A 26,187-nucleotide genomic window follows, 5' to 3' on the forward strand; every position below is an offset into this window, starting at 1 on the left:
TAGGCAGAAGGGACTTGTCTTGTCTTGGACGAGACTTTGGACTGTGGACATTTGAGTTAATGCTGAAATGGGTTAAGACTTTGGGGGACTGTTGGGAAGGCATGATTAGTTTTGAGATGTGAGGACATGAGATTTGGGAGGGGCCAGGGGCAGAATGATATGGTTTGGCTGTGTCCCCACCCAAATCTCATCTTGAATTCCCACATGGTGTGGGAGGAACCTGGTGGGAGATAATGGAATCATGGGTGTGGGTCTTTCCCATGCTGTTCTTGTGATAGTGAATATGTCTCATGAGATCTGGTGGTTTTAAAAATGGGAGTTCCCTGCACAAACTTTCCCTTTGCCTGCTGTCATCCATGTAAGACATGACTTGCTCCTCCTTGACTTCTGCCATGATTGTGACGCCTCCCCAGCCATGTGGAACTTTAAGTCCTTAAACCTCTTTTTCTTTACAATTTACCCAGTCCCAGGTATGTCTTTATCAGCAGTGTGAAAACTGACAAATACATAGTTCACAGCATCTATTATTCTCATATTTATGTCTATGTGTGCTCAATGTTTAGCTCCTGCATATAAGTAAGAACACGCAGCATTTGGTTTTCTGTTCCTGCATTAATTTGCTTAGGATTATGGCCTCCAGCTGCATCCATGTTACTGCAAAGGGCATGATTTCATTCTCTTTTATGGCTGTGTAGTATTCCATGGTGTATGTGTATCACACTTTCTTTATTCAGTCTACCATTGATGGGCACCTACATTGATTCCATATCTTTATTGTGTATATTGTCGTGATGAAGATATGAGTGTAGATGTCTTTTTGGTAGAATGACTTATTTTCCTTTGGGTAGATACCCAGTAATGGGATTGCTGGGTCGAATGATAGCTTTGTTTCAAGTTCTGAGATAAATATTTACTGGGGAGTTGTCAGCAGATTTTTGTAAAGAAAGGTTGGGGTTACAGAAGTTTCCTTGGGAAAGAATTGTGTCTTCAGAATGCATACAAAGAAAGGGTAAGATGTAGGGTCAAAAGATAAGTTTAGAAGTAGGAGGGGAGCTGAATGAACTGAGTGCAGAAGAAAAGATCTGAGTTTGCTTACAAGCAAATTTGTACCAAAGATGTTATACTGTTATGGAAATTAAAAAGGCAAGTTTTAGAAAGATCCCAGGGTGGAAATAATTGGCATTTTAATAGGAACTTTGGCAATAAATTTTTCTATAATTCAGGTAGATTGTCTGTCCTTAGATGGAGTCAGGGATAGGGAAATAGGTTGGCTTCAGGTAGTGATTTAGAGCTTTGGCAATAGTTTTAAAACATGGCTGTAAATTCATTGTCATTCTCCCCATTAAGTGTTAGGGTCTACAGTCCATCCCATTGAATCTGAGAGGGCTTGTGACTGTTTTGGCCAACAGCATATGGCAGAAGTGATGTGTTGTGATTTCTGATACTAGATCATAGCCACATACAACAAGGACCATATAGCCTTGTTGGTTGAGACATTGTCTTTTGGACCTCTGAGCAACCACATAAGAAGCTGACTACCTTGAAACTGTATGCTGGAAAAACAACATGGAGAGATGAATTATTTGGTAAGGCCATGAAAAGAAGTGTGTATATATATGTGTGTGTGTGTGCGTGTGTGTGAGAGAGAGAGAGAGAAGCCATGTTCATAGCTTCTTCTTGATAAAATTTACTCTCTACTATTCTCCATTTGTGAATTGTTTTGTGTCAAATTAAGTGCTGCTTGAACTAGGGTACACTAAGAAGGTATATTCATGGAGAAAATTGTTACTACTTTGGATGTAAAGGTGGAAGAGGATTTAATATTTAAGGATAAGAAAGGAAGAAACTCCAGGTTTGGTTTTTTGGGAAGTGGGAGAGAGAAGGAAAAAAAGAGCAAATCTAGTGGAATGAGGATGGACTTGGGAGGAAGAACGGGAGAAAGCAGGCTCACTGTGGTTTAGTGGATGAAAGAAAGTAAGTATAACGAGGCAGAATAAAACCACACTGTAAAGGAATAAACAGAGAGGTTTGCATTCATTGCAGTAGGCAATAAAAAGCCATGAAAATTTTACATCAGAGGAATGACAGTTTGGAGATCTGGCAAGGGGAACAAGGAGACCTGCTAAGACACTGATGCTCTAAGCATGACATTCAAAGCATGATGGTGGTGGTAAAGTAAGAGGCAGAACCATAAAATATTTTGAAGAAGGAATAATCAGCAGTGGTGTCTACACACAATGGAGAGCAGGAAAGGAAAATTCAAGAATAACTGAGGTTCCACCTGGAGAATCAAGAATAATTGTGGTGACTCTTCAAGAAATAGGGTGCTGGAAAGGGGAGCAGGAGAATATTTAAAAAGCATGAAAATAGTGTATGAGCCTCTCCAGCCCCTGTGTAAGAAATATCACTCTATTTTTTATAGCTCAACTTAATTATTTTGAGCCTCTTTTTTGCTAAACTAGCAGAAATTTAATTTCACTTTATTCAATTCCCCGGCCCTTCTCCTTGAAGTTGTGACTGGAGTCCATAACGGTGAAGTTGTTGAAATGAGGGAAGCTGGTCCACATTGTCATTTCTCAGTGCTGGCAGCATGTGAGGTGGACTATCTCTGTGCAGTGTACTGCTTAGTCACCCCTGTCACTACTCACAGAAATCCCTTCATTTCTGCTGGGTGGACTCTATGCCCCTCTTAGGCTAACAGGATTTTACTGTTGGGGCATGAGATGGGCATGGGGTACCCTGTGAGTTCTCCTAGAACGTCCCCTTAGATCCCACACAGTCATTTCTATTTTGGAGGTTTTATGTCTCCCTGGATCACACATAGGAGAAAGGGCTCAGAGTACCCAAACATATTATTCTTGTTATCTCCCCATAGCCCAGGGTGTGGCTCAGGTCAGGGTCAAGGCATGGGCCTCTTTGTATTTCCATAAATGGGCAAGTTAAGTTTGAAGAGATGATGGGGCCCATTTCCAAAAAGGAAATGTCCTAAGGACAAGTCAGAGAAGAATGAAAGATAAACTTCTACTTCTGGGAAGATGGATTAGATATACTTTTCCCCATATCTGCTTCTAAGTACAACTGAAAACCCTCAACACTTTATATGAAATAAACACAGGAAGATTCTGGCTGATGGAAAGAAGAAAGCAAATCAATTATGGATCTCAAGAACTAAGGAATGACATGATGGTAAGTTCCTTGAGTTTTCTTTTTGCCTCATAAATCTCAGATTTGGAACTGAAGAAACCAGCAACCTGAACATGCCAATGGGCACAGACAGAAAAAGCCCCAACAAACCCTGCTTTTGAACGAAAGGAACCGGGAAGGAGCAGCATATCAAACAGGAAACTTTTCAATAACTGCTCTACTCCAGCCAAACAACTCAGAAAGAAACGTTACCCCATGTTCCCAGAGGTCAAGTGGAGATCCTAGATTTCCATCCTCACCAGGCTATAATGAGGTGCCTAACACAGCTGCCAGGGTAGTATCAGAAAAGGACAAGTAGAAACCTTTGGATTTTAATGCCTGTTGGGCTGTGAAAGCCTAACCGCCCACCCCCACCTTCCTTTTCAGCATCAGTGGAAAGCGAGCAGAGAGTTGTGACTTCTCCTACCCCTTGGTGGGAAAGAGGCCACTCCTGTGATGTCAGTAGACGGCCTGGGGGGAATAGTAACAAGACACTCCAATCCATTTCAGCCAGTGAGGAATCAGTGGAGGCCTGCTAGGGAGCTGGAACTTTCATCCCTACCACCAGTAATGAGGAGCCCTCCTAGTGGGTGTCAAAGAGGCTGAGTAGAGAACTTAAACTATGGCTCCCACCTAGGAGTATTGAGGTGTCACCCTCTCTTTTTTTTCTGCTAGAGCAGTGTCAAAGGAAGTTGGCTAAAACAGAGTTTAAATAAGACTCAGATTCTTAAAACATAATATCCAAAATGTTTAGGATTCAATAGAAAATCATGCATCATACCAAAAACCAGGAAGATTTCAAACTAAGTGAAAAAAAGACAACAGATGCCAACACTGAGATGACAGGGGTGTTAGAATTATCTGACAAAGATTTTAATGCATCTATCATAAAAATATTTCAATGAACAATTACAAACACACTTGAAACAGATGAAAAAACAGTTTCAGCAAAGAAGTAGAAAATCTCAGTAAAAAATACATACATATAAAGAAGAAATAAATGGAAATTTTAGAAGTGAAAAATACAATAACCAAAATTTTTTAAAAGTCAAACTTGGCTGGGCATGGTGGCTCATGCCTGTAATCCCAGCACTTTGAGAGACTGAGGTAGGCATATCACTAGGTCAGGAGATTGAGACCATCCTGGCCAACATGATGAAACCCCATCTCTACTAAAAATACAAAAATTAGCTGGGCATGGTGGCATGTGCCTGTAATCCCAGCTACTTGGGAGGCTGAGGCAGGAGAATCACTTGAACCAGGGAGTCAGAGGTTGCAGTAGGCCGAGATCATGCCACTGCATTCCAGCCTGGCAACAGAGCAAGACTCCATCAAAAAAAAAAAAAAGTCTAACTTCTCAGTAGATGGACTCAACAGCAGAGTGGCAGGACAAAGGAAAGACTCAGTGAACATGAAAGTAGGACAATGAAACTACCCAATATGGAAACAACAAGTTCGAAAAAGAAATGAACAAAGCCTCAAGGACCTGTGGGATTCTAACAAAGGAACTAACATGCGTGTTGTTGGGGTTCCAGAAGAAGAGAGAGGGTAGGGCTAAAAAAGTACTTGAAGAAATAATGGCCAAAAACTTCACAAATTCAGGAAAAGACATAAATCTGTGGATTCAGAAACCCAAGGAAATCTAAACCAAGACTCATTAAAATCATCTTTTGAAAACTAAAGATTAAAAAAATGTGGAAAGCAGCAAAAGAGAAGCACCACCTAAACTATAGGTGAAAGCAATTTGAAAGATGGTCTATTGGTCATTAAAAACCATGGAGGCCAGAGGGAAGTGGCACAACATTTTTCAAGTGCTGAAAGAATAATAAAACCACTAACCCAGAATCCTACATTCAGTGGCAAAAGCAGTGCTAAACCTGTGCTGAGAGGGGAATTTATAAAACTAAATTCTTAATTAGAGAAGAGGAAAAGACTCAAATCAACAATTTAATCTCTCAACAATTTAGAAAAATAGCAAAATCCAAAACAATCAAAAGGAAAAAAATAATAAAGGTATAAGCAGCAATCAATAAAAATGAAAACACATAATCAACAGAAAAAAATCAATGAAACAAAGAGATAGCTCTTTTAAAAACCACTAAAATTGAGAAACTTCTGTCAAGACTGAAAAAGAAAAATTGAAGACAATGACAATATCAAGAATGAAGCAAGTGATATAGTATAGACCCTCCTGACATCAAATAGACAATATGGGAATACAACAAACAACTTTACACACAAACATTTGATAAGTTATGTATATAAGAGGTGAAATTCCTTATGAAATAAAATTTTATAAATGAATTCCTCTGAAAATGTAAACTTAATACAACTCATCCAATATGAAATAATTTGAATAGCCCTGTAATTATTAAGAAAAGTGATTGTGTAACTTAAAAATCCCTTAAAAATAAATCTCCAAACCTAGTAGGTTTCACTGAAGAAATCAACCAAATGTTTAAAGAAAAAAATCACATCAATACTATGTAACTTCTTCCAAAAAACAGAAGAGGAGAGAACAACTCCCAATTCATTATATAAAACTAGTATTACTCTGATACCAAAACTAGACAAAGAGTATAAAACGAAGAAAAAAGTAAACTATATAAAATATCTGTAACACAAAACCTCTTAACAAAATATTAGCCAATAAAATTCAGCTATATATAAGAAGAGTTACCGTGGCCACATGGGGTTTGTTACTGGGACTCAGGCTGATTCAATGTTCAAAAATCCACTTATGTAATGATGATGTTAACAGTCTAAAAAAAGAAAATCACATGATTATACTATTGATTCAGTAAAACCATTTGAGAAAATACAATATGCATTCATGATAAAAACACTTAGAAAAAATAAGAACAAAGGGTAACTTTCTCAACTTGATAAAAAGCATCTATTAAAAACTTATAACTTAAATTATACTCATTGGTGAAAGACTAAATGATTTTCCTTTAAGACTGGGAACAAGGCAAAAACGTCCTCTCTTACCACTCTTATTCAACATAATTCTGAAAGTTCTGGCCAATATAAAGATAAGAAAAGCAAATAAAAAACACAAATATTGGAAAGGAAGTGACAAAACTGTCTCTCTATTTGTAGATGACATGATTGCTCATGTAGAAATTCCCAAGGAATCTTCAGAATGAAAGTCTGGGAACTACTGAGTTCAGCAAGGTCACAGAATACAAGATAAACATACAAATATCAATTGCATTTCTATATATTAACAATGAACAAATGGATGCTGAAATTTAAAATACAGTACATTTACATTAGCTCAAAAATGAAATACTAGTTGTAAGTTTATCAAAACATGTACAGGACTTACATGTTTAAACTACACAAAACTGATGAAAGCAATCAAAGTGCTAAATAAATGGAGACATACTATGTTAATGGATTGGAAGACTCAATTAAGTAAAGATGTCAGTACCCTCCAAATTGATACACATGTTTAATACAATCTATCAAAATCCCAGGAAAGCTTTTTATAGATATAAACACAATTAATTAAAAATTTATACAGAATGGCAAAAGAACTAGAATAGCTGAACAATTTTGAGAAAGAAGAATAAAGTGAGAAGAATCAAGACAACACAGCAATATAGCTATAGTAATTAAGACTGTGTGGTATTGACAGAGGGATCAACAAATAAATGGAGCAGGTTAGAGATCTCTGAAATAGACCCACACAAAAATGCCCAACTGATTTTTGACAAAGAGACAAAAGCAATTAAATGGGAGAAAGATAACCTTTTATAATAAATGATGCCGAAGCAATTGGACATCTATTGCCAAAAACACAAAACAAAACAAAACAAAAATAGATCCCTAAACCATTGATCTAAAATTTTATATCTTATAGAAAAATTAACTGAAAATGAGGCATGGGCTTAAATGTAAAATATACAACTATAAAACTCTGGAAAAATCACAGAAGATCTGCAGAGCCTAGGGCTAGGATACAGTTCTAGGTGACACCAAAAGCATGATACAAAAAAAAGAAAAAAAATGAGAAATTGAATGTCACCAATCTTAAAATGTTTTCTCCATGAAAGACCTTGTTTAAGAGGATAAAAAGACACACTACAGCTTGGAAGAAAATATTTGCAAACCTCTTATCTGACAAAGGAATGGTATCCAGAATATTTCTAAAACTCTCAAAAATCAATAGTTAGGAACACAACTCAAGTAGAAAGTAAGAAAAAGACTTACGGATATACAGATGGCAAATGAACACAATAAATAAGATTTATCATTACCTACAAATTAAAATTGCAATGAGATAGCACTACACATCTATCAAAAGGACTGAAATAAAAAACAGTGACAACACCAAATACTAGCGAGGATGTGGTGAAACTAGATCACTCATGCATTGATGATGGACATGTAAAATGGTACAGCCACTCTGAAAAAGTTTTTTTAACTAAATGTGAAGTCACCATATGACCTATAAATTGTCTCTAGACATTTATTCCAGAGAAATGAAAACCTATATTCACACAAACACCTGTACAAAAATGTTTATATAAGCTTTATTTGTAATAGCCAAAAACTGGAAATAACACAGGTATCTTTCAGTGGGTGATTGGTTAAATAAAGTGTGGTACAACTGTATCATGGGATTCTATTCAACAATAAAAAGAAATGAACTATTTTACTTATTTTTAATACATAATTTTTTAATAATTTTTTTAAATTTACTTTTTAGAGATGGGGTCTCACTATATTGCCCTGGCTGTCCCAAACCCCTGAACTCAAGCAATCCATCTGCCTCAATCTCCCAAATTGCTGGGATTACAAGCATAAACCACTTCACTTAAAAGAAATGAACTATTGATACTAGCCAATGACCTGGATGAATCTCCAGATAATTAATCTGAATGGGAAAAAAAATCTCAGAAGAATGCATATTGTATTACAAGTTGAGTATTCTTTATCTGAAATGTTTGGCAACTAAAGTGTTTCCAATTTCAGATTTTTTCACATTTTGAAATAGTTGCATTTACTTACTGATTGAACATCCCAAATCCAAAAATTTGAAATCTGAAATGTTCTAATGCGATCTTTTATTCAACATCATGTTAGTGCTCTAAAAGTTCAGATTTGGGAGAATTTCAGAGTTTTTATTTTCAGATTTGGGATGCTCAGCCTATATTCTATTCATATAATATTCTTGAGAAAGTTGTAGATATGGAGAACAGATTAGTGGTTTCTAGGTATTAAAGGAGGGGGAGAAGGTGGAAAGTAGATGTAACGATACAATGACAGTATGAGGGATTCTTGGGGTGAGAGAAATGTATCTTGACTTTATCAATGTCAGTATCCTGTTTGTGATATTTTATTATAGTTTAGCAAGATGTTAACTTTAGGGGAAACTGTGTAAAAGGTACATAATATCTCTCTGTATTATTCTTTTCAACAGCATGTGAATCTACAGTTGTCTCAAAAACCCTTTAAAAGTTTGTTTTTATTAAAAAGTTAAACTAAAATATTAAAAAGAGAATCAGAATAGCCAAAACTGGAAATAACTCAAATATCCATCAACAGATGAGTGAAAAAACAAATTGTATAGATCTTTACAATGGAATGCTATTTGCAACAAAAAGGAGCAATCTACTGACACACACAACATGGATGAATCTACGCTAGAAAAAGAAGCCAAACACAAATGAGTATATTGTATATTACCATTATTATAAAACAAATTCTAGACAGAAAAACTAAAAGATACTGATAGAAAATAGATGAAGAGAATAGATTAATAAACTGTGGGGGCAGGGGAGATGATGGACTGACTGCAAAACTGCATAAGGGAATTCCTGGGGTGATGGACACATTTCGTATTATGGCTGCAGTGACTGTTACAGGTGTCTATCTACATTTGTCAGTGCTCATCAAACTGTATATTTAATGTGACTGCATTTTATTGTATCTACATTAACCCTCAATAAAGTTGATTTTAAAGAAAGAAAATAATGAGTACAATTGAGAATTTAGAGCTGATATTGTGATTTTTTTTTCCTTTGGTCAGAAGCTATAGTGAGAGAGAAATGTGCCCAGGAATCCCTTTTGAGTAAAGTGGCAAGACTCAGAGCAAGAGAGACACTCAAGACAGGATATATTCGAAAGTGATGAGAAAGGAATGAGAAAAGCATGAGAAGTGATGAGTCCCTAAGGAGATTTGTTCAAAGGTCAAGAGTGAAAGGTAAGATCTTTGCAAATACACCAGTTTCAAGGGCTAGTGAAGAAGTCCTGTGTTTTTCTAGGACCTCAGAGTGGAGAATAGTCTGAGAGAGGCTGAGGGCTAAAGCAGTTGTCCACAGGTAAGGAAGATGCAGGGAGGGCAGGGCAAGCACAAGGCCCAGTGATATGGATGTTCACAAGTGCAAGCAAATTAACTCATGGTACTTGTGAAGATAGACAGTCAGGAGCGGAGCTGGAAAAGCAAAGTCAAGGGTGCAGCTAACCCAGAGTGATGGGTCAAGAGGAAGCCAGACAGAGGGAACTAGCCAGTAGGGTGACTAAGGCCAAGGCCAAGGGAGCACACCAAAGGAGAAAGCTGACTCATGAGACACAATCAGACTAGATCATGAGAAAGCTCAGGAAGGTCAGAAAAGAGGGTGTTGTGACACAATCCATGGCACCATATCTGTCACAGCTCAGTGGTGACACTTTGGCTGAGATTGGACTGGTTCCTTTTATGAGTCCAGCATCAACCTCTCCCCAGCTTGACCAGTCAGTCTTATAGCAGGTAGGTAGTCTGCCCACTTTACTGGGTTGTTTTGCAAGCTGCTATCTGTCAGTTTATAACTGGGTCTCCAGACCCTGGACTTTCATTATGGGATAGGACTCTGCACATCAAATGCCTGGAAGGTGCAAAGAAAGGCTAGACTTTTTGTGTCCTTCTTCTGCCTGATTTTCCCTGGTCCCTCATTCCCAAGCCAACAGGAAGAGAAGTAATTGGATAACAATGCAGAAATTTAGATACAGAGGAACCCAGTTACCAGATGGGTAGTTCAAAATGGAAACTAAGTGTATGAATGAAGCAGAAACAAGCAGTCATACCATAAGGTCAGGTAAGTCTTGTCATATGAATGCTTAACAAATTGGGGGCCTATATTCTATAGTGTTTAAGACTCAGGCCCAATTAAATTCAAATCCAAACAGTTACTAACTATGAGAAATTGAGTAAGATACTTAACCTTTCTGAGCCTTGGTTTTCTCAACCCCCCAAAAATTAAAAAAAAAAAAGGCATTGATCATACCTATCTCATTGAGTTCTTGTGCGGCTATAAATGAGATTATTTGTGTAAAGCTCTTTGTAAAACTGCCTGGCACTTACTAAGCACTCAATGAATGGTCGTTAATGGTGAATACCGGAATGTGAGGATGGGAACCTAAGAAATGCCGTTGGGTAGAGGTTGCCTGAAGAGGTCAGTGGAATCAGCTGCAGTTATAGGCAAACTCGGGAGGTTTGTAGTAAAACTGAAAAGACTCAGCTGAGGAAACCAGGACCGAATGCCCAGAGAAACAAAGAAGGGAAGGGGAAAATGTGGTGCCTAAGCAACCCAGAAGGAAGTAGTGGTCAGCAGCGTTAAATGAGGAATGAGAATATGCATAGAGGGAGAGCAGGGTGGTGGACCTCATAATAAGATGATTAGACTGGAGGGGAAGGAAGCCAGAGGGCAGAGGTTCAAGAAGGAAGTATTAAAGAACACTGTGTTCTCAGGGACAGAGTAAAAGAACCAGTTGCCCTGAAAGGCCAAATGGCAAAATGTATTGATTCTAAAAGTATGATGTTGTTGAGTGTCTGTTTATATTGTCATTGCTGTTCATGTCTCAAACCCTAAAAGAACAAGCAGCCCCTGGTTGCCAGGATGTATTACTCCTGCTACTTCCAAATCCAATTCTGGCAAGCACAGTCATTCCCCATGGTATTCCTGTTAGCATTCATACAGCACTCATTAGGATTGAAATCTTTTCAGCCTTGTCAGATTCCATTATATGGCACAACAAATCTTAACTTGTAGATTGTAGTGTTTCTTTGTACATCAACTCAGTTTTAAAATCAACTGCTAAGAAGATTATTAATCTTTTTGTGCGCTTATAGTAACGTCTTTCTCCATAATAAGACAATTATCACTTTATTGGATGTTCAGCAGTTTAAAAAATCCTCATTGCATATTTCACAAACATTTGAAATAACATTAGTAGGTTTCTCCACTTATTTGCATATAAATTTACAAAGTATTTCAGCTAGCTCATTGTCTTCTATATTCACTTCATATCAGAAATTTTCAACCATCTCTTTGTATCTGCCAGAAGAGCAAATAAATAAAAATAATGATAATTTTAAATACCACAAATATCTAGAAATCTCAAAATTGCTTTCTTTGCACAATAACAAAACATTTGGAGTAAAATGATAGTTGATCATAATTATATGTACTGTAAAACTACCTGATTATACCATTTGAACAATGTCAATTTCCCACAATACATTTAACTTCATATTATTATTATACTTTTCAATATTACATAAAATTTAGTCTGCCTTTGTCATGAAAAGTGCCCTCCAGTAATTTTCTCTTTTCAATTGTTTTTTAAGGAATATTTGACTATGACTCTCAAAACACTTCATTGCAACCCAACAACAGCAGAACGTTTTGTTCAGTACAAATTGTATTATTAAAGCGAAACAACTGCAGTTTCCAAATCTCTAACCAATAAGAAAAGCTTAAATTTTATTTTTTAATTTCTTGCAATTATTTTTTATGTCATTTAGAAAAATCTGTCAAATTCTCTGAACACTAATGTATCTGAGGAATTCTTTGACCTTTTGAGGGAATAAAACATGTTTTCTTAAAAATTGAAAATTATACTAGACATCTATTTGCCTAAAGATCTGTACATTTTTAACAATGATATCTAGAATTTTCTTTATTTTTCAGAATGATTCTCCTTTTAATAATTGAAAATGAATGAATAATTTAATCTACATTATAAAGAAAGAAAAATTTTGTTTTCAAAATCAGAATATGAAGTACTATATTCCAAATCCCAAAATACATATTGAGTACATGTTAGTTCAGACATGATGGGATGAGAGTGGGCACCATTGTAAATATCAAGAAAATATATTTAGGTAGCAGAATTAATAGGATTTATTGAATGTGCAGGGGATGAGGGAGAAGTCTAGGCCTCACAACTTCCAAATGTCTTGCTTGAACAATAAATGGGGTGAATTTCAAGGCCATTCACGAGGTCTGGGAAAAAAGATGGAAAATTGATGACTTTCTCTTTTGACTAATTGGGCCCAACACTGAAACTCTAATAAATATAATTTTGCATTTTTCAGCTTACTCATTTGCCTTTACTTAAAAGTACCTGGATATAAATAGAGCAACATTTAACTATGCTGAAGAAATATTGTTTAGAGGGCAATAGAAATTGTCATACAATTGCTCAATATAATTGCTGGAGTTATCTTGTTCAGAATTGTTCCACATATTCAATTTTGTCAAGCAAAGAAGTAGTATTTTATGCATGCAACAGATAGCTTTTGTGTGATGGTTATGTATTGGGCACTATTCTAAGAACTGGAGATAGAGGAGGGTTTGATGCAGACACAATTCCTGTTCTCAAAATGTTTACACTCTGCTGGAGGAATAAAAGTGATTATTAGAATTTAAATTATGAAAACAAATTAATATCAGATAGTGATAGTGCTGTGAAGAAAATAAAAGATAATAAGGAACATAGTAAGGAGAAAATGACCTGCATGGTGAAGAAAATGTGACATTATGCCTCTCTAAAGGGTTGGCATTTGCCCTGAGCCTTGCATGATGGGGAGCAAGCTGTTTGGAGATCTGGGAGACCTGTCCTTCCAGACAGTAGACTCCAGATTTTCTATACAGCAGCAATCTGGTTGGAAGAAGTTTAAGGGGACTTTTTTATAAGGTAACATTTGCAGAGAAAACACACTCCATTGATTTACAGTGTGTATTTATTTGAGGTGGGAGAAGATGATGTAAAATAGCAGGTAGCTGAGTGTACTCCCTTCACATCCATGAAGTCACGCTTTGGACTACCAGTAGTTCCAAGCAGAGAGAACAGCACAGGTAAAGGCACAAGGCAGGGACTGTCTTGGCTGTCTCAGGGGCAAGCATAAGGCCAGAAGGGCTAGAACACAGTGAAGAAACAGAGAAGTAGTAAGAGATGATCTCAAAAAGAGAGGGGAACCACCTCATGCCCAGCCTGGTAGACCATAGTAAAGGGATCTTAAACAGGATCCCCTTAAGGGGCCTTAAACAGGAAACTGAAGGAGTGGGAGAGGGGAAAGGTTCTGTTTTATGTATTACATCATCATCTGGTACAATTGCTATTAGTAATAGTCACTTATAAAAAAATAGTACATTTAAAAAGAAAAGGGAAAAATATTTGTTGTTATACTTTGAATGTTTTTATGTATATATTCACCTTCTTCAGACTGTATCTGTCAGAGATGCCACGTTACTGGACATCATTAGCACCTTCAAAATGTGGGGAAAGAGCTAGTGGTCTTTGGAAGAAAAAATATTCTCTCAAAATGGCATTTGCTAACACTGAATGCTGTATTTTATGTTCTGAAGAGATGCTCTGCTTGTCATCTCCATGTTAATAATACTCCAGATTTGGTGAACTCCTAATTAAAGATAACTAGAATAGTTAAAATAAGATAGAAAAACAAACTCTAATTAATGAAGCTATGTATTTGCCTCAAGACATCAGTTAATGCTTTTCCATTAATGGTACCAAATTTCTGATGATGTTGAAGTACTTTATTTGGGGCAGAGTAGGAATATTAAATCTTAAAATTGTTCCTTGACTTTTACAAATAAGGAGAAATCTATCATTTGCCTTAGCAATTTCTGACCAATGTATGCAAATAGAAGTATGAATTGCCTAAGAATTTCAGGATGATTTTGTTACATTAAATTGTAAATATAAGGAAAATTGGTTTTTTTATTTACAAGTTATAGTTTCATTATTTAGCAAGTGAAAATGAGATCATTAAAAGCAAGAGTTTTTTCTCTCTTGAAAAACACAAACCTAAGAGCTGTTCAAGTTGAAAGACTTTTTGAGGGTAATGCCACATAGTTGAGTTAATTAATTGATTGACTCATTGATTGATTGATTGATTCATTCATTCATTTGTTTATTCACTTTACAATTACACATCTACTATTGTTTTGGATGATATCCAGAAGAAAACAACAAAATGATCATTAAATGGATGGTGTGTATAATCAAATTGTTTACAGTCTAGTTAATGAAGCAAAGCAGAAACATACACTGTTTTCAAGCATGAAAATTAATATAAGATAGCAGCAGAAGAGATACCACAAGGCTGTACAAGTGTCTGAATGCCAGACAGCACTACAGATCATTCGGGTTAGGGGGAGGCTTAAGAAGGCCGAGTTCATTTGGTTGGGCTCCCTCCAGTCTGGACATTTTCAAAAAGTGTGCAGACAGGTTTCTTCAACAGTATATACTTCACTGAAGTCAGATTAGGGTTAAAGTTTACATCTGAAGAGCAGAAAATACAGCGGTCCCAAGTAAGTTTCACCATAACAGTTTTATAACCTTAAAAGGAAATGTTTTTCCTCCTAATCAAAAAGAACTTTGATTTATTCCATGCCCTATTATTTTATCTTTAGTGAAAAAGACATTTTAAATTGCATACTTGTAAAGCTTCTGAAAGAATCCTTTCAGAAATCCATCATTAGTTTTCTCTCCTTAGCATGACTACATCCTCCCTCAATGTTCTTTGCTACAGACTCAGGAAGCACTCATAGGCAAGGATTAAAATTTATTTAAAAGAATTTTGAAAGCAATTTCTGACCACTATGCTCATATAGAGGTATGAATTGCCTAAGATTGTCTTGATGGTTTCCTTATAAGTAATTGAGAAAATATAAGAGAAAATTAATTCTAAGATGCAGAATTTTGTTAACTATAAATTTATTGTAACATTGTAATTTGGGCTTTTTTTCTCTTCTTTTTTCATTTCTCCTTTCCCTTTTCCCTTCCCCTGCTTCTTCTTTCTGAATAATTTAGTCCTAAAGCCATTTGGTGGAACAGAGCGAGGTCGGCATTCCTGCAGCCTGAGGGAGGTGGAGTGGCCTAGTACAGGGTGCCTGAGCCCTGGTGGGTTGAGGGGCATCTGGTAGGTTTAGGTGGGCAGCCTGGCATGAGGTGTCAGAGCCTAAGGAGGGGGAGGAGGCGTCCATAGAGATGGTTGTCTCTGCATGGCCCAATCAAGGACAATATAAACATACAAATAAATAATGATGGTAGTGAAGAACTATAACCCACTGAACACTATAGGAAATCCATTCAGATACAGAAAAATGAATAAATTGAAAGTTGATAAAGAATGAGATAGAAACATAGTTTCAATGTACCAGCCACACAATTGATTACAAAAGGGAAAACTGACTTTACAGTGGAAGAGTTTTGCAGACTCTCCCTTATTTCAGTGATCAAAGTGAGCTTTAGTAATGGAATTAATCAAAATTATGTGATACCTGAGGATCAACAACACAGCATCACTCCTGTGATATTCCTGCCAAAGATGCACAGCTCAAATCTAATTATGAAGGAACATTGGACAAATGCAAATTGAAAACGTTCTACAAAACAGCTGGCCTTTATATTGCAAAAATGCCAAGGTCATGATAGTCAAAGAAAGACTGAGGAGGCTGTTATCATCGAAGGAAACTAAAGAAACCTGACAAACGTATAATGTGATTCTAAGCTGGATCTTTTTGTTAGAAAGGTCATTATTGGCACAATTGGTGAAATTTAAATGGAGTTCTGAGGAGTAAATGGTACTGATGTATTTGTGATAATTTATTACCTTTTTTGTAATTTCTTGATTTTAATGATCGTAGTGTGGCTGTTTAGAAAAATATCCTTGTTGGTAAGAAATACACCCCATACTATCCAAGGGTAATGGGGTAGCAGGTTGGTAACTTGTTCTCAAATGGCTCAGGAAAACAGAAGTTTATTATACAGTTACTTCTGAGTTTTCTATTTGTGATTATTTTAAAAATTATAATTTTGAATTTGCTTTTATAACCAATGACAATCCTGCAGTTTTGACTATGCAAATTGTTACTCTAAATATATTGATATTTATATAATCAAATTAGATGATCCAAGTACCATTATAAAGCATTTTGTCTGATCACCTGACAAATGATGACAGTACAAACTTATATTGGGGTTTCATTTGTATTCAGATAATCATTTTTCACATACTTTCTCCATTTTATGAAAGGGAAAAATGACTTGGTGATCAAGTGCTTTGTTAAATAGCAAACAGGATAATTTATTTAGTATTTAAATTTATTTTCAGTATTGAAGTCTAAAACGTGATTTTTTTCAGATAGCAGCAGAATAATAGATGCACTCTCATTATTCAAAAATAGTAAGATTTACTCATTACAGAAAGCAGAGGAGATAAGAGACACATAGTGTAACTTTGACTAATTTACTGCTCAATCCAATGTTACAAATTGCAAAATTATGCAATTTCTGCTGTAACTTCAAACGTATTCTTGGTTATTTAAGAAAACATAGAAATTTAATTAAATTAGACCCTTGATGAAAGTTCCTACCCAAATATATTTGAATCGGAATTTTAGCCCCCAAATCAGAGGCAATATTAACTAACATTTATAAAGTGCTTACGTGTGAGTCTTTTTCTGTAGCTAGAGCGATACATACCTACATGCCTACATGCATATATACATGTTTCATAATAATGTAATGTTCAAAACATCATCTGTTAGATACTATTATCATAATGCCCATTTTACAAATAAGTAAACTGAAGTCTAATAGGTTGCAGAAAGTCATACAAGTTATTAAGTGAAAGGTACACATTGTTAAGTGAAAGTATACCCGGAGTGTCCATGCTCATGCATCTCTTTACTAACCAGCTTTCTGAGGTAGGTAAGGCTGTCTTTAGAATGTCACTGGGCCCAGAGCAATTATGCCCTGCAACACTGTACCTTACCCCTCCTAAGCACTAGTGTTTCTAAGAAATATGGTTAAAAACCATATCTAAAGAAACTCAGAGTTGAAAGAAGTGACACAAGGACAGTGACAAGCTTTTTTATAAGTGAGGATATGAAATACCTCATCTAAGTGGTGGTGGGAATTATGGGTTGACTGAATTTATCTGAATCTTAAATCTTTTTGGCAAAATGAAGGCACACACATTTCATTTTTCTTAATCACCTTTCTGATTCACTGCCCTAGGCCAACAGTACAGTGGCCCTGAAGCAAGGGACCCAAGATAATCTTTACCTTCCCTTACCCACATCAATAACCATAGCAATATGCATTCACTTCAATCGTGAAAGGGGGCAGCAGTTAAGAAAAACATTGATTATTCTTGGTATCTCTTCTGATCTGTCTTAGAAACTATAGGATATCAATTTAACCTAAATTAAGCTAAGAATGGTAATAGATGTTAAGTCCCATATTTTTAAATTTATATATTGTTTACTTTTTAAAGTAAAATTTCTTGGGTTATTCCTATTTTAGATAGTAAATTGTTACGATAAAATTATTGTTAGGTAGATTGAAGTCCAGAATGGGCAGGGCCTGGTGGCTCACGCCTATAATTTCAGCACTTTGAGAGCCTGAGGTGGGAGGGTTGCATGAGCCCAGGAGTTTGAGACTAGCCCAGGCAACATAGAGAGACTGTCTCTACAAATTAAAAAAAAAAAAAATCCAGAATAGTTCTGCTTTGCTAATCTAATCGGGGCGGGGGAAGTATTTTCCCAAATTATCTTCAATTAAAAGAAATAAATTCCATGAGATTGTATTTAGTTCCTAGTTTTACTCTTAAATTGTACAGAAATAATTATCTTATAGAATCTAAATACTTTTTATTCTGTTACATAAAAGGAAACTTAGATTTTTCCCCCTGAAAGAGGTGACACAAACTTCTGTTAGAATTATATCTGATGCAAAATATTTTCATAGTGCCATAGTTAAATTAAGAAGATGTGCAGTATTTCAGAAGGATGGTTTTAGAGCTTACAAAACATGAGTTACATCTGATCTGGTAAGTGAATCAGCAAGATGCTAATGAGGTTAGAGAGATGTGACTGGCCCAGTCACAAGTAAAGAGAGAGTTGGCTATATTCCAACACAGAATATGATTCTCAGATGTTGTGCAGAATTTGGGAAGTGGGTCACCTCTTTCAGCCCAACTTAGTTTGCCAATTGGGTAATTATTACTCAAGTATAATAAAAAATGACACTAAAAATTCATGAGACTCCAAAATTAAGCAATTGACAGCATCTGAGTGCTAATAGCATAGAATTACTGTAAGGATAGTACTTGCTTGGGGTAGGTGCTCTGGAGCCAGATGCCTGGGTTAGAATCCCAGCTCTGCCACTTCTTATTATTAACCCAGTCCAACCTTTCCAAGCTTTAGTTCACTTAACTGCAAAATGGAGAGGATAATAGTACCTACTACTAAACATTATATGAGTAAATTCATGTAAAGCCCTTAGAAAGGCCCTTTGCATGTAGGACTCAATAAAAGCTATGAAAACAGTATGAACAATTCTGCGTGTGGGTGCTTATATATTTGTAATATATATAAAACAACTATTTTTTAACAAAAGATTTCATAACTGACTTTTATAAGTTTATGCAAATGCAGGAAATTATGCTTTTTATTTCTATGATGAGCTCATTCCTGCATTTTGCCTCCATAGATGGAAAAATAATTTGATCTTTAAAAATAAAATGACGAAGCTGCTGGACTGGCTGGTCTCCATTTGCTCCTCCAGATCCATTCGCTTCTGTGCTGTGCCTTGTTATGCTGTAGAAGGTTGACTTCTACTTTATCCAGCCCCAAGTCTTCCTTGCCCTCTTGTTTCTGTTGGGTTTGTCCAATGGGAAACACTGCTAGGAGATGGTAGAGTAGGAGGCTAAAAGGATCAAAGTTTTTTTTCTGCTCATTCCCTCCCTCCCAGTTCAAGCGTTGGCTGTGAATGTATTCCTCCATGGAAGGGATAGCCCCTTCAAAAGGCCAAGGCTCTTACTTTGTTCCATAAACCTTTCTCCTTTCCTCTTTTAATTTAGAGCTGTTAAAACCATCTAGCTGTTCCTAGTGCCTGAGGAAGGGTGCTTCATGATCTCTTGTCAGATCCCTTGTCTTTTTATTAAACTCTATTCAATGATTTTTTTTTTCTTTTATGGGTTCTGACTGATCCAGATGCCTTTAGTTTACTTATTTTTTTTTCTACTTTGTTAGTACTGTTAAGGCTCACCTTAACTCACCTTAAATTGTACTGTTTTTAAGTTACATATTTTAGATCATAATATACCTATTTAGAATCATTTTTAAAAATAAACTGGAAATTATCATAATGTCCAGATTGTTTAACCTCTGCTCCAATACGTAAATTCTGTGTATTGTAAGAGGTTTTTTAAATTATAGTTATATAATTTATTAGTACCACTCAAGAGTGGGGCTGGATACTAACTAAAGATCAATTCTAAATCAGAATTCCAGAAACACAGGCAAAGCCTTGAAATGGATGTATAGCAAAATCTTTTGCCCTGTCATGAAGTTTTGTTTTGTTTGTTTTGTTTTTAAAGAACTGGTTCACTCATAATTGTTGGCACTGTTATCAATGGCATATAACTATAATCTCATATATCACTATCTATAGATATATGAGATCTCATATATCTTAATAATCTCATTTTATTATAAGTAACGATCATAGTAGACTCTTGGGTATTCTGCCATCTGAAAATGTGGCTTGGAAAATAGCAGTGGCTAAGCATTTTTGGTTTTAAGGGATGATAAAGTGAAAGACTACCTTTTTCCCTGTATCCTAAAGCCAAGAAGCTGAATTATTTATTAGTATGCTACAAAAGTAAGACCAATGCACTGAACTAAGGATATGGTATGAAACCCAAGTATATCTCCCGTAGAAATGTGACTCATAAAAATAAATGGTCTTACTTCCAGTATAGGATATTTAACAATATCTCCAAAGAGAGAGCAGAGCTACAGTATTATTATAAAGACTGCATTACCCCTTCAGCTGAGGTCTTGCCCAACCCTTGCCATTCTATATATTTACCTAAAATGGATAGAAAACAAAGTATCTTTCAAACAGTAACTAGAAGGGCAAAAGAAACTTGGTTCAGCTATGCTAGGAAGAATCATGTGTGTACTCACATGATATCAACAACAAAAAAGCCTGAATGGAACTGCTCAATTATGAGCAATGTGAATGGAAATACCGCACAAATATACAAACATATCACAGTAAAATAAAATAAAATGTGCAAGAAAGAAGAAGAAATTAAGAAAAAAATATAAATTTCAAAAGAAGGATAAATATCCCAATATAGACGAAAACATACTTCAAAGCATAAGAAAATTCATCACAATGTCACCTTAGAGAATAATAAGAACTTGAATTCAAGAACTCCAAGCTAACATGATGAACAATAAAAATCAGGGCAGTTATAGATTTAAAAAAACAAAAGAAGGCTATAAACATCATCACAGAAATAAAAAGGTAAAGTAGAAAATAGACTTCACTAAAAATTGACACACATACACACAATAGGGAATGGTTTTCACCTAAAGGAAATGGTGACTGGCTACTTAATGGTAAAATTTGAGATGATTTTTAAATATTTATATCATCTTCACTTTTCTAATATTTAAATGGTTTGTGGTAAACATGTTTAAGTTTTACAAGTAAAAGACTGATTTACCTAAAAAATTAGGTGGTATATTATAGCAGACATTGTTAGTGCCCCACCCACATCCCTCCAGCCCTTCTGTGGGCTCCAGCTGACTCTCAACCCCAAGGTTCTCATTTCTCTGCTCAGGCTCCCTGGCAACCCGCCCCACTCTTGGAAATCTGCTGTACCCCACTACACACTGACAATGGTCCAGAAATGCTGGAAGGTTAACACCCACCCCAGCAGCCTTAAATCCACCTGCCTTGAACTTCAGGTGGGAAGTTTCTCCATGAGATTAACTCCAGTTACCCACCCCCAGTTTCATGGGCCCACCACCATGCTTATGTCCCCTGATCATTTCAAATTATTTGCATTCAAGTCCTTGTCTTGGAATATGCTTTTAGAAAAATTAATATATACATCATATAAAAATAATACAATATAGTAATGAAAATAATAAACACTAAAATTTTGAAAGTTTGTCAAAACAATTTTGAGCAATTAATATGATTATTTTATGCTTTTTGTTCACTTTAGGGTTTTACATTTTTCTATTATAAAGAAAAAATTCATAAATAAAAAGTGAAGCAAAAGATATAAACTAAAGTAAAACATTGAAACAAACATTGTTAGTGTAAAATAATAACCAATTTCTACACCTAAGCAGCACTAAGTTGGGAGTACTAAGTTGCAAGCCGTTTCCCTTGACAATGTCAATTTTACATGATGAGTCTGGAGGTCCATGCCATTCACTATTATCCTCAGGTCGGTATCCTCTCCCCTAGTTCCTTCTCTTTCCCTAACAATTGTTTTGATGCTGTTAATCTTTTGGAATTACACTGTCACATCATTGTACTATCCCATCTAATTTTCTGCCTAGACAGTACATTGTATATATCAGAAAAGTCTGTTTTCCAAAAAATAACCAATTTATGTAAAAATCATAAAGTATGAGACTGATAAAAACTCAATAACACTATTTATTGCAATTTAATAATTTTATAAATTATATCCAGAAACATAATGGAATTCATTCAAGGTCAAGGAGCTAGTTAAAAACGTGAAAATTGTCAGAATTAAAATGGAGGCAATTGTGTTAAAAATCCTGACAGATGGAGCTCGGGAAAGCAATGAAGAAAGGGTTCCCATTCACGAATGCCTGACAACAGGAATTGTCAGAAAAGACTGCAAAACCACAACCTTGCACAAAGGCCATTGCAACCTTGCACAAAAAAAAATACTTCTGCAAGGATATCTGCCCAGCAACTGCCTATCTGACTTCAAACTGGTGCCATCCTTATTATTGATCCTTGTAACCAGGAATAATTATCTCGAAATAATTGTGTACTCCTCTTCATTTTTCTTTAAAAACCATTGCCTTTCTTTACCCTCCTGAATAAGCACATAGTTTACTACGGTATGTGTATTCCCATTGCAGTACCCATGCTAAATAAATATCATTTTCTTTCAGAGTGCTTATTATTTAGATTAATAAAAGCAACGAGGACCAGAACCAAATAAGGTCTCCTTAATTTTAGCCCAATTATTTTCAAAGTAACTCCTCATTCCAAATCCCCTTCTCAACCTACTTCCCTATTCAAATGCTTGACAGACATTGATGTGAGGGTGACAGCAAACAGGCAGGCAAGACAGAAAAGGCAGTAAGAGACAGAAGCAATAGATAGAGCTTAAAATGGTAAAGCTCACGATCGCTTACTCAGGATTCAATATGATTCACTGATTTCTACAGAAGGGACATGGGTGCGTCTGACGGATTGAACGGGAACATTGATGCAATGAGTAGCAAGTCTGAACAGGGCTGAACCAAATCCATCCATCCATGTCTGACCAGTTTCTCTTCTAGGTTAAGGGTTAGTTCCAGTCTTTGCCACAACTCCTCTTCCTCTTTTGTTCCAGAAAGTCAAAGCTCTGCAGTTAAGAAGAAAAATACACCACTGAAACTTTCAGATGCCTTGAGACAAGATTCTTCTTCCAGAATTCTAGTATCATTCCAAGGCTGGACTCTTCAGAAGTGATTGCCTGCAAATTTAGGATGAGAACAAAATCACAGTTCAAGGTTAGTATTTTTGAAGGATAAAGAAAAGCAAAACATTAAAATATCTCCAACTAATGAACTATTGTCTGTTTTAGTATACTTTCATGTTTTTTTTAAAAAAGAGAAGTAAAAAGAAAAATGAAATCATTTTTATTATATGATATTCAAGGTCAAACGAAGCCACAAGAGTTCATATAGGGAAAGGTACCACATGTGGCATATTATGTCTTTTTATATTTTGCTGCCTATCACAGTCTTCTAAAGCTAAACTTTAAAGTTCTCATGTCATAAATTCTTTTTGCAAATTGTTGAATTATGTATTGTGTACATAACACAGTGCTGATCAGTATGGGCAATTTAGAGATGGGTAAAATGCTATCCTTGCAAACAAAAGGTTTATAATCTATTTGGTGAAAAATATAATTAGCATAACAAAAAATCAAAATAATTCAATGCTATTTGAGATTGACCAGGGTTGTTGGGGGAAGGATGAATAGGTACAGCACAGTGAATTTTTAGAGTATTGAAAATACTCTGTGTGATACTATGGATACACGTCATTATACATTTGTCTAAACCAACAGAGTGTACAACACCAAGAGTGAACCCTAATGTAAACAATGGACTTTGGGTAATTATGATGTGCCAATGTAGATTTATCAGTGATAACAAATGCACCAGTTTGGTGGGAGATGTTAATGATGGGAGATGCTACATATATGTGGGGGCAAGAGGCATGTGGAAAATCTCTGTACCTTCTCAATTCAGTGGTGAACCTAAAACTGCTCCAAAAAGTAAAGTCTGAAGAAAAGGAAGATATTATGAATACATGCCTATTTGCTTGATATGGGGTATGTATGTATGTGGAAGTAGGCTGTACACCCTTTTTACTTTTTGAGTTTTATACTATATAAATTTATTAGTAAAACTAAAACATACCAGGAAAGGAAGAGGAAAGGAAAAAAAGGAAAAAATAAATAAAAATAAATTTTAAAATGCGACTTCAAAGATCAGCTTTATTAATAAACTCAATCCTCCATGCTGGAATAAGCCACACCATCTGATGGCACACAATGCATGGCGTCTGTTTTCTTTGTGTTTCTCTTGAGTTTGTTTGAATGCTTTGTTTTAAAATTCCAGTCTTCACTTGACTGTGTTGCCAGAATTAAGGGAAGTATTGAAAAATCTATCCTCAGCCCACAATATTAAAAGGAGAGGATTCCTTTGACATCCCCACACTGTTGGCTGTATCTGTAGGAGACACTTGAGAGAAAGGTGAATGAATGAACGAAGACCAGACCTGAGAACGCTCCAATCCATGTTTACACCCTCCAGTGGAACTTTCCTCATCTTGAGGAAGCTGTATTCGCTTTTAATGAAGCAACTACAGATATTTCTGTTTTTAGAAAAATGCCTAGTGTGAGTACAGAGGAAGAAGTGATTACTTGTAATTGAAGAGTAGAGTAAGGAAGGCTTTTTAAGGGATTCAAAGTTTGATCTCAGGCTTGAAGAATTTCCACAGTGAGGATGGTGAGGATGTGGGAAGGACAGTCCAGGCTGAGGTGGCAGCACCAGCTAAGGCCCAGGGTATGAAAAGGACCAATTGAGGAATACCCCAAATGCCATTAAGGCTGACTCTGATGTTTCTAGTCTGGATAAATAGAGACAATAATGTGCTATTCACTAGGATTGGGACAAATGATGAATTTTTGTTTGAGGGATTATGAGTTGGGGAAATTTCAGTAGTATATTGGAGCCAGCATGAATGTCTCCCCCAACTCTGCCTTCAGTGATGTTAAGTTAGCAGCTTGAAACAGGCCATGATGAGAGTATTTACACTATATAAATTGGCAAATGCTACAGAACATCACTGGTTGGAGTGATGGTGGAACACCTCTATGACGTTTGTCAATTGGATCAGGGACTTAGGAAACAAGACAGGGATAAAGATAGGACCTTTATCCTATCTCTAAAGAAATGACTAAAGATGTAAAGAATTTTAGATTGAGAAAGATTGACTTTGAGATCGGGAGAGATTGCATTATGAGAAATGGAATAGAAACCAGAGAGATTTCTTAAGAGATATTTACTTTAAAAAGGTCAATAAAGAAGGATTCTATAAAAGAGACAGAAGAATTATGGAAGTAGGAGACACATTGGCATAGGTTAACTTATCAAGGATAAAAGACAAAAGTGTTAGTGGTGCAGAACTAATAGCCATCATCATCATGACAGCGCACATTTACTTCACAATTATTACCTGCCAAGGAATATACCATATATTTTATAAATTATCTAATTTAAATTTCAAATATCATAAGAAGTAAATACTATTATGCTTATTCGACATAGAAGGAAACTAAAGCTTAAATTGTTTAAGTAGCCTGTGCAAAAAGAAATAACTGATAACTGGCATAGCTGAGATGCAGACTAAGCTTTGTATCAGCCCAAACTTTATGATCTTAGAAACCAACTCAAAATAATTTCAGAGATCATTCATTGTAACAGACCAATGAAACCTCACATAGTTTTACTGTACTAGTCCATTCTCATGATGCTGATAAAGACATACCTGAGACTGGGTAATTTATAAAGGAAAGAGGTTTGATAAACTCACAGTTTCACATGGCTGGGGAGGCCTCACAATCATGGTGGAAGGCAAAGGAAGAGCAAAGGCACATTTACATGGTGGCAGGAGAGAGATTGTGTGCAGGGGAACTGCCCTTTTATAAAACCATCAGATCTCTTGAGACAAGAACAGCATGGGAAAGACCCAACCCCCTTGATTCAATTACCTCCCACTGAGTCCCTCCCATGACACATGGGGATTATTATAATTCAAGGTGAGATTTGGGTGGAGACACAGAGCCAAACTATATCATTCTGCCCCTGGCCCCTCCCAAATCTCATGTCCCTTTCACATTTCAAAACACAATCTTTCCTTCCCAACAGTCCCCCAAAGTCTTAACTCCTTTCAGCATTAACTCAAAAGTCCACAGTCCAAAGTCTTATCTGAGATAAGGCAAGTCCCTTCTGCCTATGAGCCTGTAAACAAGTTAGTTACTTTCTAGATACAATGGGGGTACAGGCATTGGGTAAATATTCCTATTCCAAATGGGAGAAATGGCCAAAACAAAGGGGCTCTAGGCCCCAT

At 36.0% G+C, this 26,187-nt stretch overlaps 1 long non-coding RNA gene across 1 annotated transcript, besides 1 other annotated feature; it reads left to right on the top strand.

Annotated features, from left to right (window-relative positions):
- Nucleotides 1-9,223: 9,223 nt before the first annotated feature.
- On the top strand, nt 9,224-23,108 carry LOC124909450 (uncharacterized). The gene is made up of 2 exons (XR_007096135.1): nt 9,224-9,397; nt 22,895-23,108. It is a non-coding gene; the product is annotated as an uncharacterized LOC124909450 (long non-coding RNA).
- Nucleotides 25,901-26,101: a silencer, noted in NCBI's record as "peak4863 fragment used in MPRA reporter construct". NCBI's record gives its function as "represses an SCP1 promoter by STARR-seq MPRAs in K562 erythroleukemia cells {active_cell/tissue: K562}" and the evidence as "EXISTENCE:reporter gene assay evidence [ECO:0000049][PMID:32103011]".

The sequence above is a fragment of the Homo sapiens genome, chromosome 3, assembly GCF_000001405.40.
Source record: "Homo sapiens chromosome 3, GRCh38.p14 Primary Assembly".
NCBI lineage: Eukaryota > Metazoa > Chordata > Mammalia > Primates > Hominidae > Homo > Homo sapiens.